The sequence below is a fragment of the Homo sapiens genome, chromosome 7, assembly GCF_000001405.40.
Source record: "Homo sapiens chromosome 7, GRCh38.p14 Primary Assembly".
Classification (NCBI taxonomy): domain Eukaryota; kingdom Metazoa; phylum Chordata; class Mammalia; order Primates; family Hominidae; genus Homo; species Homo sapiens.
Window position 1 is genome coordinate 69,825,948 of NC_000007.14, and position 18,991 is coordinate 69,844,938.

An 18,991-nucleotide genomic window follows, 5' to 3' on the forward strand; every position below is an offset into this window, starting at 1 on the left:
GCACTCCAACTGGAAACAGGTTCTCTATTGCCCTGTTTTGCTCTTAAACACAGACACCTTTTTCAGTCAAGAGAATTAGGGCCTTTTAAAAACTCTTCTTTCTTTCTTTTCCTTTTTAGGTAGCCCATATTGAATCAGGTCCTGCAGCTATAGTTATTCATGCAGGGAGAATTCTATGAACACAGGGGAGAATGGCCTGGGAGTTTGATAATTTGTTATTTTTTGGTTTGTAGATTGAGAAGTATATTAAGTAAGGATAACCCCTTATAGTTAGTTAGTTATTTTATAGTTTTCCTGTCCAGAAGGTTTTAATCTCTCACACGGCTGTGGACTGGCAAAGTAACTAATTATTGTCTCCAGTTTATGGATAAAAAAATTTAAGATGCGGCAAGGTTAAGTGACCTGCCTAAGGTGATAGACCTGGGCCTTGAATCCACAGCTTTTGACTGTAAATCCCTTCAGTACACTGAGCTTTGGATAGTACTTTTGCTTGGATTAGAACACCCTATAAATGTGACTAATGGCATCTCAGGGTTCTGTCCTGGCTGTCATAGTTGAATCCTTTATTTGCATTGCATGTGCTTGCTTGTGTGTGTGCGTGTGCAACTATTAATATTAAGCATCTTGCCATTTGCCTCTGTAGAGCACAGTTGATAGACGGGAATATACACTTGATGTAGTCAAGAGAGTGTCATCTTTTATTAAGAATTCTGATCTTGCCTCTCCAAAATGCCTACTTTCACTTTTAGTCTATTGTAAGTGTGAATATTTGTGTGTGGTATTTTATTCCTAGGCAAGGTGTTTTTCTCAGTCTATGTTGTGTGTCTAGGATGATAATGTTAAAGCTTAATATATTTAGTTTTGGAAGACTACATTTTTCTGGGGTGGTTTATGAGTTGTTTTCCTTCCTCCAACAAATTATTGAGTGTCTAGTATGTGTTCTATGCTGTCTACCTTTACTTCCATCTCAAGGAAGTCTAGGATAAAAATAACATTGTTTATCTGTGAAGGGATAAAGAGTCAACACCCATTTCATGTCAGCTCTGTCTTTATTAGGCATTTGGCTATTGAGCTTTCTAATTTCTTGACTTTTGGGAGTGTTTCTCCCAGTTACCAGACAGGTCCAGGGTGGGAAATGCTTTCCTTGGGCCCCAGAACTAGCTCATGGAGAGGTGGTTGTAGCTTCTGGGAATTTTGAAAAGAGCCACACCCAGGAATCTGCTTGGACTATGTGTTCTTTCTGTCCTGCCTTTACTCTCCTCTTTTCTCCCTCTTATAAGCAAAGCGTCTTTTTGCTTCCTTGCCCCCAATCCCAGAGAGACTGTTAACTTATGTTTGCATGTAAGGAGAACAGTCAGAGTTAAGGATCTCAAACTCAGGAAAGTGGTTTTTGTACTCAAGAGCTCCCTGTGTGTTTGCGCAGCACACTTACCTCCATCCAGGATGCACTTATCCTGCGTAGATGGATTGTAACCGTGATAGAGGGGGAAAAAGAAGAGGGGAAAAAAAAACCCCTAAAAAAACCCTGGATTCTGAAGATGGCTGCAGTATATTCTTCAATAGAAATTTGAAGCATGAAGTGGATTTTAGAACACCACATGAAGCTCTTCTTACTTAAAACACAAGAACTTAAAACTTGGCCAGGGGAAAGGTGTAGGGAGGTGGAGAAAAGCACTCCTTCCATTTAAGGGGAAGTAAGCACTTGACTTCATCAATTGTGGTTAAGATAAACAAAGCTTATCTTTTTGGTTGGCATCAGAAGGGGCATTTAAAGTCTCATGAAATGAGAGAAGGGTTGTTCTGTTCCTTATTTACTGTACTTGAACGGAGTCACTGAAAACCTTGATGGGATGTCTCTATGACTGCTCATTCCTAGTTGTCTGCAGCACTGTGGCCAGTGAATATGCTGGTTCCCACAGAGGAAGGCCCACAGCATGGTTTCCTTCCTCTTCTTTTAATTTTGCCTCGTGTCTTTTGTAGACGAGAGTGCTCTGCAGTAATTCTTTTGTAGAAACTGCCATGCCTCAAATCACATTACATAATACAGGCTGGGGACCAGCATTCCGTGAGGACTTGATCAATGGGTTGGGAAACAAGGTTGATAGCATTGCTGTGGAGGAGATGTCAATGCGAATTTGTCAGCTCACCTCACATCCTTGCTTGCAGAACTTTGATTTTATTTAGGTGTTCACTTCCATGTGGACTTGAGTTCAGGGGGGTACATCTTGATTAGTCTATTCCAGTCATTATATTTCTACTCCTTGTCAGTGATGGGCTTAGGAAGGTCCAGGTCTGGCTGGCTGGACATGAGGGGAAATCTTGTGTGGGCACTTCTAGAAAACGTTTCCTTGATTTTGATGAAGAGAAGTATAATTTCTATCTGGTTGTTGTCTGCATGTGGTGCTTTGAAATTGGCAGTTGCCATCTTTGAACCGTGAGCCAGCGTAAGAGGACAGGCCCACATGCAGGGGACAGCAAAGCTGTACAAAAGATAGATACTATCTTTGATGATATTGTGGAGCTGTTGAATTGATCAGCCTGAGTCCATTCCATTTTGGGACTTCTTGTTATGTGTGAGAAAGAAAAATCACGTTTTAACTATTTTGGCTGGATTTTCTGTTTCCTTCAGTCTAGTGTATTATAACTGATAACTATCTTACCCCATTCATACAGGATGGTTTGAGATAAAATTAGAAAATATTGGAAATGCTTTTACACAAGTATGACACACACAATTAACATAGACATTAACATAAATATTATATTGTAATGTCCAGTGTTCTCATACTTTGCTTCCATATCACTTCTGCTAGCATTTTCTCCAAAGCAAGGGGACAGGCCATGAGGATGAAAAACAGCCATTTAAAAACTGTCTTGGGGGTTTTCAGTATTCTTTCTGTAAGAATTGACATGATACATAACTCCTAAAACATAGTATAAGGCAAAAATTATTCTTTCCTGATGAACTTGTATTTCTTCTTATTGGAAAGTGGCAAATAAAATAATCCAGTATAGGAGGCATCATGCTACCTGACTTCAAACTATACTACAAGGCTACAGTAACCAAAACAGCATGGTAGTGGTACCAAAACATACATATAGATCAATGGAACAGAATAGAGACCTCAGAAATAGGACCACACATCTAAAACCAGCTGATCTTGGACAAACTTGGCCAAAACAAGCAATGGGGAAAGGATTCCCTATTTAATAAATGGTGCTGGGAAAACTGGCTAGCCATAGGCAGAAAACTGAAACTGAACCCTTTCCTTACACTTTATATAAAAATTAACTCAAGATGGATTAAAGACTTAAATATAAAACCCCAAACCATAAAAAACCTTGAAGAAAACCTAGGCAGTACCATTCAGGACATAGGCATGGGGCAAAGATTTTACCATGAAATCCCCAAAAGCAATTGCAACAAAAGCTAAAATGGACAAATGGGATCTAATTAAACTAAAGAGCTTCTGCACAACAAAAGAAACTATCATCAGAGTGAACAGGCAACCAACAGAATGGGAGAAATTTTTGCAATCCATCTGACAAAGGTCTAATGTCCAGAATTTACAAGGAACTTAAACAAATTTACAAGAAAAAAACACCACCACCAAAAAGTGGGCAGAGGGTATGAACAGACACTTCTCAAAAGAAGACATTTATGCGGCCAAAAAACATATGAAAAAAAGCCCAACATCACTGATCATTAGAGAAATGCAAATCAAAACCACAATGAGATGTCATCTCATGCCAAGTCAGAATGGCCATTATTAAAAAGTCAAGAAACAACAGATGCTGGAGAGGCTGTGGCGAAATAGGAACGCTTTTACACTGTTGGTGGGAATGTAAATTAGTTCAACCATTGTGGAAGACAGTGTGGCGATTCCTCAAGGATCTAGAACCAGAAATGCCATTTGACCCAGCAATCTCATTACTGGGTATATACCTAAAGGATCATAAATCATTCTACTATAAAGACACATGCACACATATGTTTATTGCAACACTATTCACGATAGCAAAGACAGGGAACTAACCCAGATGCCCATCAGTGATAGACTGGATAAAGAAATGTGGTACATATACACCATGGAATACTGTGCAGCCACAAAAAGGAATGAGATTATGTCCTTTACAGGGACATGGATGAAGCTGGAAGCCATCATCCTCAGCAAACTAACACGGGAACAGAAAACCAAACAGCGCATGTTCTCACTCATAAGTGGGAGCTGGATAAGGAGAAAGCACAGACACAAGGAGGGTAATAACACATACCAGGAGCAGTGTGGGAGGAGGCAAGGGGAAGGAGAGCGTCAGAACAAATAGCTAATGCATGCAGGGCTTAAAACCTAGATGATGGGTTGATAGGTGCAGCAAACCACCATGGCACACGTATACCTATGATTACATAGGTATACCTGTACATTCTGCACATGTATCCTGGAACTTTAAGTTAAAAAATAAGTAAATACATAAATACATAAAAATTCAGTATGTTTTCTTGTTGTCTTATTTCACCAATGAGCTCAGATCCAACTTTAATGGTTAATAACACTTTGTCTAAAATTCCTAATATATCTTCTAATATTTTCTAGTTGGTTTTATTTATTTTAGTTATTTTAACAACAGTGAGTGATCTGTATCACATCCTCCTGGAAGTACCTTGGATTTCATTATAACTGAGGAAGCGTTTGTTATTTGTTTAAATGAGTGTCCCAGATAGCTTGCAATGGAGCATATTTATTTGTTTACTCTCTTATCCATTCACTACACATTTATTGAGCTCGTACTAAAAATTAGCCAGACACTTAAATCGTTTTCTTTGGCTTGATTGTAGAGCTCATAAACAAAAGTACTAGGAATTTAGAATTGTAGATCACAGAGCATTAGAATAGGGGAAAGTCATTTTTCATTGTTGAGCCTGAGGAGAGTTTCGAAGGTGACTTGAAGGTATTGATTTGAGGAATGCCGATGGTTTTCATCTTCTTTTCCCATCACTAAACTAAGTATACTCCCTTCAGAGGTAGAGAGCCAGGAGACCTTTATAGTAGTGAAAGGACAGGAAAGGAAGGCTTTCATAGACAGCCTGGTACTGGAGTCAGTATTCAACAGTGAAATTCTGGGGTATAGAAAATAGTTAATTTATATACTTTAATTCCCACCTGATCCCCACTCCCCAAGAAGGTTGGAATCCTTGTTTTTCCTCCTTTTGGAATTTGCTACTTTGAAGGGTTTTTTTCTTTTGAAGGAATAAGAACAGTCTGTTCATTGTGCTATTTAGTGCAATTAGAATTAGGGAGCAATATTTGTTCTGTGAGTTATCTACCCTGACAGAAGCTCTGATAGAAGCTCAGAATAGTTAACTGCCCTCATAGAGGCTTGGGGCATCATTGCTGGAAATGAGATGCCTAACTCCAGGACTTCATCCTGTGGACTGCAGAATTAAACGGAACCAAAGAAAATAAGCAACAAAAAACAGTTGGAACAGCTTCTCAGTGGACTTACTGCTGCCAGTCTTGGTGGGGAAGCACCAGTGCTTCTTGGACTCTGGCTACTTTGATCTTCCCAGGGTGCTGGAGAACCTGGAAGGACCCAGGTTGTCTCTCCTATGTCCACTGTAAGCCTTGGTAAGAAGCATGAACCTTCTGTAAGCCAGGACCCAACTGACCTTTTAAGATTTTTTTTTTTTTTTAATCATCTGAACATGCTATGCCGTTGTCTTGGCATTGCTTTGATCCCAGATGTCTCAGTTTTAAAGAGCACCTACACTAAGTGGCAAGGAGAAATTAGAATTATCCATATTGATGATGAAAAATAAACCTCAGAGGGCTTCCAATTGCACCCTAATTCTTCTCCCTTAGGATATTGAGAGAGTGAGGTGTAGAATTTAAAGTTAAAAAATTTTACATCACTTTACTTAATAATTGAAAGTTACTTGGCTTTGGCCCTTGGCATGATTTAAATCACAATGGATTTGAGAGATGCTTTGTCATTGACTTAATTTTCAGGGTTTTAACTCATTCAGTAAGTTGGCTTGGCAGCCCTAAGCAGCATTAGTATTTTGTGTGACATTTTCAAAATATCCTTTGAACCTATGGTAATCCCTAAGGCAGCCATGTTCTAAAACTCAGAGAAGGACCTCCCCAGGGGCTTGAAATACCTGTGTTTCCTCCCCTCACCGACAACCCCCTACCCTGCTCCCCATAGCAATGTTTTGAGGTTGTGTGATCTGGATCTGGGTTGAACTCCTGCAGCGTTTTAAACCTTTTGTTTCTTTCTTCTTTAATAACAACAGTGTTTCTTACCCTGGTCATCTATTGAGAAGTGTAGGTGAAAGTAAGCATCAACAGAATGGTGATTTTGAATATGGGAATGGGTTCTTGGGAGCCACTGATGTACCTATAGGGACTGGGGATATGATTGGTAGTTCTAGAATGACGTTGCAGTTGCTCTATACATGACCCATCACGTGGAAGATCCTGACCTCAGCAGCACACAGCAAGCATGTAATAGCTGCAGAGAATAATGCTGAGCACTAGTCAACTGGTAAGCATTACAGACTCCCCTGCTTCTCTCTCCCATGGGTCAACTGGTGTTGAATAACAGGGAGACTAGTACTTTGGACATTTTTACCTACTGAAGTTGACTCATGCTGTTCCTTTAGAAGGCTAATAAATTTTTGGTGATTAACTGAATAAATTAACAACAGGCTAAGAGAATAATTACAGACCTATTTAGGAAATCTAGTTCTTGGTTTTGCTTGGAGATTCTTGCCAGAACTTTACCTTGTAAGTTAGATATTTTTACCTGTTGCTTCTCAGAAAAACCTACAAGCATACTCTTAGGTTTATACCTTCTATCCCTAACAACAACAAAAACATTAACTGTAAACTGCCTCCTGTTATCTGAGGGTAAAGTCGTAAAAATCAAAGAGGAATTTTGAGGAGAAAGTCTTGGTAACAGAAAATACTAATTAGTTGTCTGTGTTGTGAGATGTGTTGCTTGAGAGTGTCTGAGCTTCAGAGAATGTATAATTTCCCTCCTTGATGTCCACAAGGAGCTTCTAGGATACTTTATTAAAAGACGAGTAATCAGTTATTATTCTTCGTAGGTATATCTCAAACTGCAGCTTTAAACAGAATCAACTAGAGGGCTTTGTTACAATACAGATTGCTGGACTCCACTCCTGGTGGTATGGTAGGTCTGGAAAAGGGCCTGAGAATTAAAATTTTTAGGTCCTCCAGTGATGTCTAGGTTACCGGTCCGGGAACCACCCATTAAGAATCACTGTTGTATCTGGTCCTCTGCCTCTTTCTGCACATCTTATATCCATGCAGCAGGTATGAAAATGAGCTCCCCAAAAGCATTCACCTTCACTGTTGACCTGATTATTATATAATTATAATTGGATCTCAACCTTTTAAAAGGCCAATCGTATCTGAACTACATATTAATTATAAATCTTAGTGAAAGCTCTATTATATTATCTCAATTTTTTTTTCTTTTGAGATGGAGTCTCACTCTGTTGCCCAGGCTGGAATGCACTGGTGTGATCTTGGCTCACTGCAACCTCGTCTCCTGGGTTCAAGCGATTCTCATGCCTTAGCCTCCTGAGTAGCTGGGATTATAGATGTCCACCACCACGCCCAGCTAATTTTTGTACTTTTATTAGAGTCGGGGTTTCGCCATATTGGCCAGGCTGGTTTCAAACTCCTAACCTCAGGTGATCCGCCTGCCTTGGCCTCCCAAAGTGCTGGGATTACAGGTGTAAGCCACTGCGCCCGGCAATTATCCTGATATTTGATCCTGAAAAATCTTGCTTGAACTTGAAACTTGTCCTAGAATGTCTTTGAAAAGTTCATATTCCGATAAGTGTATTACATTCTACAACAATTATGCTAAAAGGTTACTTCACAGAAAATTATATCCACACTCATGATAGAATCATTTGGAAGTTTAAAAAATATGGTCATGGTTGGACTCCATCCAAGACTGATTGAATATGACCCTCTGGGATTGGGCACCAAGTAATATACAATTTTGAAAAATTTCCAAGGGATTTTAATGGGCAGCTAGGTCATGAACCACTGCGATAGGCCTTGGAGAGGGAGGGGAGCAGCAGGGCTCTGGTAAGTCCTTTACACTTGCTTTAACCTGCTGCTCTTTCCCCTTCCCACTGTTAAACTCCCCTGCACCTCTACGTCACTCTTCTTTACAGGCTGGCTAGCGTCATCACATTGTAGGTCGTTTTCTGTGGGCTTAGGAAAACAGTCCAACAGACTGTTACCCTAGTGCGTGCAATGAAAGGCCTTTATTCTTAGGGTTCAAATTATTTTACAACGAAATTGTTTAGTTTGGAGCCTAGCCAGTTTCATCTCTTCTATACTCCAGGTTGATCTTCTGTTTTAGATGGTGTTCCTCACTCTGCCTTCTTCACCTGAATAAAGGAAAGGCAGGCAATGTTTCCAGAGCTCCTGAGCCACCCTTAGTGCTGGAGGCAGGTTTAGGAAAGAGCTGGCTCCCTCATTGCTAAACAGAATTAATGTTGTTCAATCACTTTATTCTGGCTCTGTGAAATAATACACAGGAGGAATTGCTGCTTTATGACTTTAATCTGATAAACTACCTGCTCTGGTGTGTTACATTCTGTGTGTGTTTCTCTGCCACCACTGCAGAATAATCTCAGCCTTATGTGTAGCAACTAGAATGCAAGGTTCAAAACTCAAACCAAGCCTTGATGCAGACGTCAAATAAGAACTACTTTAGAATGCTCTGTGATAATGCTAGGCACTTAGCATGACTGCTGGGGCTCCTAAAAGGAGCCAGGAAGCAGCAGAGCCTGAGAATCCTATAACATTTCCTTTTGAGCTTGGGCCTGAAGCAGCCAAATGCTGTAACCAAATAAAAGCCAGTTTACCTTTTGCTTTTCTTATGTCTTCTTTTCTTGTTCTCGTCTTATAAATTATGTTCACACTTTTCCTTTTTTCTTTTCCATTCATGCCTTTCCTCCGTTTTCTCTGTACTCCATGCATCTGCCGCCTGTCTGCTTGCTTGGTTTTTCTTCTGTGTTCTCTCAGCTTTTCACTTTTGGAAGAGTCAGGAATCTTGTATATTTTGAGAATTAGCGAAACATCGTGGGTATTTATCCAAAGTGGACCTTGTACAGTCTCTTTTATGCTCGTTTTTAATCTCACCAATTTCTAGAATCTCACTAATTTCTAGGTTTGTTAAGGGACAACATGGTGTATTGCTGGAGATCAAGACACAAAGAGTAACAGAGCCTCAGAGCTCATTAATGGTGGTCTGAAACAAGGAAAGGAGAATTAAAATAATGTCCTTAACCCAGGACATAAGAGATACAGATAGAGAGATGGCAAAATCCATGGCATATCTGTGACGGTTTTCTTTTTTTGTAGAAAATATCATAAATAGATCTTAGAACTCTGATCTTCTGATTTTTCTTAACACAGTACTCTAGGGAGAGGCCACTAGACAAGATGAATCCCATCACTGTTAGTGGGAGCTTAGAGGGAATTTTAGGTGAGGGAAAATACGGAGATAAATGCCATCTTTTGAGATAGGTCTTTTGATTCAGTGTTGAAGATTTGTGTCAAGAGACTCCCAAACCATAATAGATATTGCAGGCCTTCCCTTTACTGCCTGTTAACCCAGGCATGTGACAAGAGCAAGATTTCTAGAGATTGCCATAGAGGAAGAATAATTTCAGTGACTTTGGGAAAGCCTGAAGACTGATTTAGGGTGAAAGGCACATGTCATTAAAGAGTTTCATTATAGATTGCTGGTTTTATTAGGAGGTAAGTGGTTGGAGACATTCGTTTCCTGGAATCATGTAGGACATTTAAAGTGTTGAATGCTATATACAACACCCCAGAGGTGAAGAAGATGTTTATCAATTTAGGTGCACAGATGTCAGTCTGATTATTGGGAAGAGGGTGAAGAGGTTTGACAGTATCAGAGTATGGACACATTTGAGCAGCAGCAGCTCATTGTCCTAGAACGAATTGCCTCCTGGCCGTGATTTATTGACATAGCTGATGGAGGGACTCAGCAGAAGCCACCATTTATCTGTTTCTTCAGTTGACCATTGGAAAGCCTTACAAAATTATGTGCGTGAGAAATGTCAAAGTGACAGATTTGGGTTCAAAAGATTGTACACTTTTATACATCCACCCTTTGCCCTTCTTTTTGGACTTGAGTATTTTAGACAAAACTAACATTTTCTTCAGCTTAGTATAAACAGATTTCTGCTCAGATTAGCTGAGAAGGCATACACCATGTTATCCTTTTATGGATGAGTGATACATGTGATGTCTTTGTCAAATAGGAATTGCCCTCTGCCTTGTGTGTTTGGAGAGATGACTGGCCACACCTCTGAAGCAATCAGCTGTGGCCAAATTAACATAATATGGTACCTGTACATAAAACTAAATATAGAACAATTTTATCTTTTTGTAGTAAGGATACTATATTCCGAAGAATTCATGTAAGTTGAATTATTTAAAGTGGATTTAGGGACATTCATTGTAAAGTTAATCTTTGGTAAATCCTTGTGTGGTGATTTTTTTTCTCTCCTCTTTTGCATCCCCATTTGAAAGCCCACAATTTAATCTATTTGGGTAAGGTAGATTCTTATGTGATTAAATCACTCCAGTTTATACGCATTGAGGAGTAAAGTCACCAGACTAAACTCCTCAGGAACAATGACAGAGAGTTTTGCCATGGGTGTTTGGGAAAACTGCATTTACTTTCTGCACACTTAAACTCTGTTTCAGTCCACATATTTGCACGCCTAAAAAAATTAACAAATTTTCACAGTAACAATGATACTAGCGTTTACTTATTGCTCAAAAGAGGTATTGACCGCTATAGTGTGTGTGAAGTTGGAAACTTTAGGATGATAGCCATAGTTTGTACTTCGAGCTCACTCTAGTGGGGGAAATAGACAAGAAAACCCATAATTAGTACACAGTAAATGTTAGGTATATTTCTCATGTGAATGTGTGCAGTATGGTAACTGCTCGTTAGAGGGGACCCTATAGAATTGATTACCTATAAGAGACCTTGACTGCGCTTGGGATAGTTAAGGAAGGCTTCATGAAATAGCGACAAATCAGGGTTAGCTCCTGGCCTGGGATGATGGCTAAAAGGACTAAAGGGCGAGTCTTTGCCTCAGTTTCTTATTTGAAAATGAGGATAATAATAATCCAACTTTATAGAGATTATTATGAGGATTCTGTGAAACAAATGCACATAGATAGTTAGGCAGTCCTGGTAATTGGGAAGACATCAATAATGATGTAAGTTATCCATGTCCCTAGTCCTTTATTTCTTACAACAACAATCCTTTCAAGACAGTAGTACTTTCCCTATTTTGAAGATGCTCAGAGAGGTTAATTTGCCCAAGGTTACCCAGCTAGAACTTGGTAGGGTTCAGCTTTGAATCTAGACGTCTCTCTCCTGGTTACCTTTTGTTCTCTTTATGCTACTCAGGGGGCCCAAAATGATTCCAGCTGCTTCCTGCTTCATTATCCCCCTAAGTGCCCCACTGAGAGGAGTCTACAATTGCCTGCCCCTCCTCTCCCTGCCTCCTGGTCTTGCCATGAGTCACTGCTGAGCCATTTGTGTCAGAGAGGAAAATGGGGGCTTGCTATTCACATGTAGCAATTTGCTATGTGTTCTTGCTTATTTGCCAGGGACACCAGCAGAGAAGCGTTCATCAAGAGGCGTCATGTTTGTTAAGGGACCACATGGTGTATTTTAAAAGCTCTTAACTCTCTCTGGTATCATCGATTATGCTTTAGCATAAGAAATAAAGTGACACTGAGCCTCTTATTAATAATACACGTTTTCCATTTAACTTTGACTGGTTAAATCTGGCATAAAATGCAGACTTGCAAACCAGCCTCCCTGGGATGTGTAGCTTCTCTTAGGCTATTTATGATGCGGATCTCTGTTGAGCAGCAGCCTCTGCCTGCAGCTAAGGCTCTGGACTAGATGTTCTCTTTTCCTTTTCTCTCTTGATGGCATGGATTGTTTTGTTTCACAAGGCTCATGTTCTAGATGGGATTGTAGCTGGTCTACTACAAGCTGGTCTAGTTGGGATTGTAGATTGGTATGGATAAATACTGAAATGGGAGCTGGTATCTGACAACTGGAGGGGTTATATATGTGCCCCCATATTCTGATCAAGCTTTGGCATTTTGTGCATTTGGCAAAAGTCAGTGGTCAATATTTGAAGTTTGCATGAAGTTAGAAGAATTTTGGGCTCTGAATATGAGATGACTTAGAGATAATATGTTTATTTTACAGATAAAGAATCAGGCCTAAAGCGATTGATGATGATGATGATGATGATAGCAGAATCTCTAACAATGGTTAAGCCAGACACTGTTCAGAGTGATTTTTGTGTTAACTTGCTTGATCTTCACAATGACTCTGTCAGGTAGACAGTATTATTATCCCTGTTTTACAAGTGAGGAAACTGAGGCACAGAGAGTTTCAGTCATTTGCCCAAGCCACATAGCTGGCAGGTGATAGAGCTGGGGTTTGTACCCAGGCTATCTGGATCCATCAAAACCTTTGCTATCTGTGTATCACTACACTGTAGCTTGTCCAGAGTTACAAAGCTGGGCAGGAATAGTCCAGGACCCAAATCCCAGTCTTTTGTTGGCTGAACTATATTTGTTATTTAAAGATTCTTTTAGCAGTGGAACTCTTCTTTAAATGGAGATATTACTAGATAGCACAACCAAATAAAAAAAGTGGAAACTTAGCTGCTGTGGTTTAAGTGGGATAGGCCAGGCATTGACCATGCATTCCCTTTATTCAGCCCTTGCTGTGGCTTCTGAGAAAGCCACATGGAGCATAGTTTTATTTTATTTATTTTAATTTTTAGTCCCTACAACAAGACTCACAGTAGGGATATGATTTTAAACCCTGGCTCTAGTTAGGGATATGAGCTCCAGATTGCTCTCTTTTGGGTCACAATTAAAATCCTAACCGGCAACAGATATTTTTGGTCAGATCTGGTCATTCTCTCTGCCTCCGTACCCATTGGGGGCAAACTATGAAGCTTTTGTAGCTGCATTATTGTAGATTTGCAGGATTTCTGTTCGTAATCAGAATCGGGTATGTGTTAGAAAAAGGCCTTCCTGAGTGTATGAACCCCTTTGCCTGCTGACAGTCTCTGGGCTGGAGTTAACATTAACATCTGCATGCCCAGAGGACAGTGAATTGCTAACTTTTCACTGGCTTTCTTTTTGCTTGGACATTTTACAGTGCTCCAGGGTCATCATTCTGGGCAGTACTTACCTTGTAAGTACCTGATTTTGGCTCTTTTCTCACTCACTAGTCTGTGATCTAGTCTTCTCTCTGTGTCTGCAGAGTTCAGTCCCATTTCTGGAGCAAAGCAGTAGCTCAGTAAATGTCAGTGGAGTTTTTTGAATCACTTTTTATTATTCCAGATTATAGGCATATATGTATAGATCAAGTAGGCTGAATATGACTTAATCCCCAAGTTTCTTCTATAATAGGACCTTATTTTATCTCTCCAAGTAATGGAATAAAGGGATGGAAGCTGGTCTAGTTGGGGTTGTAGATTTATAAACAAGACATTAATCTGAAGCTTATATTCTTTTAGAGAGTTACAAGAAAACCCAAGATCTCCCCCCATCCCCAATTAAACACTTTGTTCTTTGTAAGGATAGTAGAGTAGTAGGAGTGGGGGTATTCAGGAAAGCAGGTCTTAAGGCAGAAGAATCACATCAACATCCCAAGTTCTATTCCTCACTGCCTCACGAATGGTCTGCTAGCCACCTGCAGTTGTTGTTGTTGTTGTTGTCGTGTTTTGTAGGTAAAGGAAATATGGCAGGAGAGTGAAGTATAAGAGGTCCAGGAGCTTGGTGGAGGTGGAGGAGAGGGGGGATGGGGAAAGATAAAGAGGCAGATAAGAAACAGGAATCATTGTAGACCAGTGGTTTTCAGAGTGTGGTCCCTGGACCAACAGCTTCAGTGTCAGCTGGGAACTTATTAGAAAGGCAAATTTGCTGGTTTCACTCTAGACCCAGTGAGTCAGGAACTCTGATGGGGGTGGGCAGCGTCTTTGAAAACCTTTACTTCACTAACTTTTTCCCCCTCTATCTTAAATATTCCCAATTGTTTTAGGTTTTAGTTGATTCCCATATTATACTTCAATTGTGTGTCAGTGAGTAGGTCTGTATTAAAGGAGAACTGTTGAGGAAACATAAAGAAATCTCTTTGTATTCCAAAAAGCGTTTCTCAGAGTTAAATTACATGTTTTGTTAGTGTCTGTTGCTTTTGTTCAGATTAAGCTCTGAAACAAAATTAAGATTCTCGTCAAGGCTTGAGCTTATTAATAGCTGTTTCATTTGTTTAGCGCTAATTTAAAATGTCTGATATCTGTAGAGGAAGTGCTTTATAAAAACACATACTTGTTAAGTGTTCCACTAGGAGAAGCACTGTGAAGTCCAAAGGATGTGGAGATTAGGCAAATAACTGTGGTTTTGTTGAGCTCTCTTCAGTGTAATATATGTGTGGGTGGGATAAGAACACTGGGCTTCACAGGTCGAAGAGGCTTCCACTGGTCAGATTTCAGACAATTTGTGCATTCAAGAGAATTACTGCAACTGAGTGTAAAACACTGAACAAATAAAAATTCTTGAACTCATAGTGATGAGAGATGGGGTGGGAGGAGAGAAAGAGACAGACAGACACTCTGGGCATCATTGGAGGTGACTATGATGTCAACTTCTCATTCTATAAATTGTAAATTACATGAAACAAACACCCTGTCTTTACTGAGAAACTGTAGTTCTTTCATGATTGGTAAGAGAAACCTCTGCTTTACAAATGGATGCTACCAAATAAAATATAGAAGGATACAGAATATCAGCATTTGCATCCTGCAGTGAAAATTTGAACAGGCAAGTGCCGTCAATGCAAAACTAGTTGAAAGCATGTTGGGGAACAGAATAATCTTATTAGAGAATAACCCACAAATTACCAGCAAAGGGGAAAGTATACCCTTAACAATGGCGGTCACCACCTTAACAAAGTGGTTCAACTTAGCATCACAGTGGTAGGATAGCCTGACAGTAGGAGCTTCCTGATGTGACGAACTACACAGCATCACCAACAATTTATGCCAAAAATGTTTAACCTGAATCTAACCAGGTGTATTAGGCTGTTCTTGCATGGCTATAGAGAAATGACTGACACTGAGTAATTTATAAGGAAAAGAAGTTTAATTGGCTCATGGTTTTGCAGGCTTTGCAGGAAGCATGGTGCTGGCATCTGCTCAGCTTCTAGAAGGAGGAGAGGGGTTGGCACATCACATGACGAAAGCAGGAGCAAGCAAGAGAGAGTGTGGGGGAGGTGCCACATACTTTTAAATGACCAGATCTTTCAAGAACTCACTATCACAAAGACAGCACCAAGCCATGAAGGATCCACTCTCATGATCCAAACACCTCCCACCACCAGCATTGGGGATTACAATTCAACATCAGGTTTGGGCAGGGACAGATATCCAAACTATAACACAAGGTTTACAGAAAATAGAAGGGTTTGAAAAACAAATTAATCCACACCAGGAAGAAACAGACCAAAAATGTGGGTCATTCTCAAGAAAACTGGTATGTCTGATCTTTTCAAAAAGCCAGTGTCGTGAAACAAATTGCTGGTGGGTATTACTCCGGATTACAAGAGACTAAGGGAACATAACAGTCAAATTCAGTGTACAAATCTTGATGGGATCTGGCTTAAAAATTATAACTGCTGTAAAAGATGTTTGAGGCAGTTGTAGAAATTTGAATATGGACTGGCTATCAGATAACATTAGGAACTTAATGTCTTAGGTGTGATAGTATTTTGGTTGTGTTAGGAAAATATCTTTATTCTTAGGAGTTGCTTATTAAGTATTTCATGAAAGTATCATATCTGCAATTCACTTTCACATGGTTCCATGAGAGAGACGAGTGCATAGATAAGGTGATTTTGGCAAAGTTTTAACAATTTTGAATCTAAATAGTAGGCATATGGGTGTTTGTTTTATATTTATATTTATATTCAGCATAGAGAAAGCTGTGAATTCAGGAAAAGTTTATATGTAATTTCTGAGATTTCTAGCTCATGCATGCATTTCTGTTTGAGAATGCCTTATCTAGAATTTTTTATCAAGAAATCTGAATGGTGTTTAAGAATATCTTATCTAGAAATATGTTGGCATCTTAATATTATGGTTTGGTAGATAAAATGGATTTTTTTAAAAAAAGACTTGCAAAGAAGTGGATGAAATGCTAATATAAGAAAATTAGATTTTATAAGGAACATGTGACCAGATAAACTTGTCCTAATTATTGTGAGTCTCTTTAAAGCACATACCTTAGGACATTGTGTGTTGACGCTTTTACTGTTCATAACATATTCTTTAAGAATTCTCTCAGAGCCTTAAGATGATTTGTTTTTGAGAAACATCTGAAGTCTCCTGTAGCTTATTCTGATGTTATGAAGTAAGTGACTAAATTTTGATCACAGAAGTGTGTGACAGGGAAGTAGTGGGATATTCTTTGCCCCTCTTTGTGTCCTGTGATGCTGGTGGAAATTTCAAAGGAAGAGTTTCAAAAGTAGTTTACTTTGTTCAAACTCTCTAGCCCTAAACCATCAGTGACACCAGTGAGTGTTTCTTATTTTACCTATTTGGGTGTGTTAGATGTATTTTCACTGGGACTATTCTTTTGGTCAGAGAGCCTAAAGTTAAGTGTTTGAGCTTCTGGTCCTGTGATCTCAGCAACTGGACTTGATTCAGGTGCTTTGACTCAAGGGCACAGTGGTAGCATCACCAAAAATAGATGAATGGCAGCAGATCCCTAATGGCTGGCTCTCTGCTGGTTGCCCGTCTCAGCTCAGGACTTCCGAGAGGTATAAAACCTCACTGATAGCCAGGCATAATGGCTAGGGTTTACTCAGAGATGCTGGGGGCTTGAGTGTAGTATTGCTCTGTTGTAGGCTGATAATGGAGTATGTGCCAGGTGGGGGCAGGATGGTATCCAGGCAGTGTGGGCAAAGGGCTGCAGTTAGTCCCTTGTTACACTCAGTGACAGGTGACTCTGAGCTGTCTGGAAGTAAGATAAAGTGATTCAAGGATAGGATCCATACCTGAAAGAGAGGTATTCAGAATAGCATTTGAAGTCAGGTAGACTTCAGCTCTTCCAATGGACCTGCAAGAGGTGGTCAGGAAATATCTCATAGATGAATTAAAGAAGTGTTACATGAAAATGTAAAGGGGCAAACCAAATAAAATGGGTTCATTAGGTCCCAGGACTAGTGGAGGGGCATTCATGTTGGAATGGAGAGTAGTGAGAATTGGGGAGGGGTTGCATAGGGGCTTGTTCTTAGGGCAGAGTTTTTCAACAACAGGTATATATAAGAGGTCAAAATTTAGGAAGTCTGTTAGAGAAGATTATAAACTCCATGAGGACAGGAGACATGTCTGCATTGTTCAACACTGGATACTTGATATAATGCCTGGAAAATAGTAGATGTGCAGTATAAATTTCCGTTGAATGAGTAAAAATGTTAAGTGGCGAATAAAGGAATGCATGGGGATGATACAGACAAAGCAGTAATCTGTGGTGGTTGATGGCTGACCTGGTTGTAGAGTACCAGGGGGAATGTGAATATTTTAGATTTCCTCAGAGGCTAGTTTCTGAGATGTTTTGTTTACCAGTGTGGTAACCTTCTCATGGCCCTAGCTCAAATGGTAATCAACTAGTCTTTGCAGCACAACTGTGAGGTAAACATGCTGTGTCCATTTTAGAGAAGAGGAAACTGAGATTCAGAGAGATGAAGGAATTTGCATGAAGGTCCACAACTAAGAAGATAAGATGTGAAACTAGATATTTCAGCTCTTGAATACAATCTTCTTTTTACTTGAGCGCTCAATGCTGGGGACAGTTCTGCTTTTCAAGTGGCCTGATAAATAGTATCTTTGTATCATGTGAGAGTTATTAAGACTGTGATAGAAATAAATAAGGAAAAATTCACATACCAGCCAATCCTCGTTACTCTGCTTATTCCCCTATTCATCATTTGGCTGATTGAATACTGAAGATGATAAAGCTGAATCGGTAGAGCAATGTGTGATTAAAAAAAAATCTGCTATTCCACTTAATGGGCTACAGTTATTAGAAAGAAATAGAAACCCCAGTTAATGTTAGTATGGGCTACTTATTTAGGAAAGGAGATTTTTAAATGAAATAAGCCTTTCCTTTTTATTATATTGCTGGAGACAGTTTTCATTTTTGCCCACCTGGTACTTAAATGGTTATTGCTATAAGGAAACCAGTCTTACTGATAACCGAATGAAATAAATTAAACAGACACATGCAAACAAATCCAAAATGTGCCTGAGAAAGATGTGGTCTTCTAGCTTTCAGTCATTCAGTGAGACATTTGGCAGAGATGGGTGCAGCAGATAAAACTGTCATGGTTTTCAGAAGTCATTCCAAGACACCAGAGAGGAAACATGACAGACACTGGAAAGAGACCCTCTTTCAGATATGAGTAATATATATTTTATACTCATATTAATATTTCATTGGAGAGAAGGTCAAAATCTACATTTAAATGGAAATATTTAAAAAGCAGAAGCATAATATTTGACTAAGTGAAACACTCAGGGTTTTTCAAGAACACAAGCTGCACCCCTGGGACCTCAGCTCTCTAGATCTGTTGTTTCTTAGAGCACGGTAGAATGTTTGAATTCCTTTAGTTTTATCGGTAGATCTTAGCCCTGGCATTTAGGAATCTTAATCCCTCTACTCCCCTTCCATTTGACCCCGAATTGTGTTACATACTACCTAACAGTGTGTTCAGTGCACAGTATGGCCTCTCTCAGTCCTATAAAATTATTTAAATTTCTAAAAATTCATTTTTCTGGTCCTGTGAAATG

General features: G+C 39.6%; 1 protein-coding gene across 21 annotated transcripts in view, besides 2 other annotated features; it reads left to right on the forward strand.

Moving 5' to 3' along the window:
* The window catches only part of AUTS2 (activator of transcription and developmental regulator AUTS2), a 1,195,032-nt gene that overhangs the window by 227,473 nt on the left and 948,568 nt on the right, over positions 1-18,991 (forward strand). The window lies entirely within an intron of this gene.
* Positions 14,576-14,695: an enhancer, noted in NCBI's record as "active region_26102". NCBI's record gives its function as "activates an Ori minimal core promoter by ATAC-STARR-seq in GM12878 lymphoblastoid cells {active_cell/tissue: GM12878}" and the evidence as "EXISTENCE:reporter gene assay evidence [ECO:0000049][PMID:35858748]".
* Positions 17,968-18,077: an enhancer, noted in NCBI's record as "active region_26103". NCBI's record gives its function as "activates an Ori minimal core promoter by ATAC-STARR-seq in GM12878 lymphoblastoid cells {active_cell/tissue: GM12878}" and the evidence as "EXISTENCE:reporter gene assay evidence [ECO:0000049][PMID:35858748]".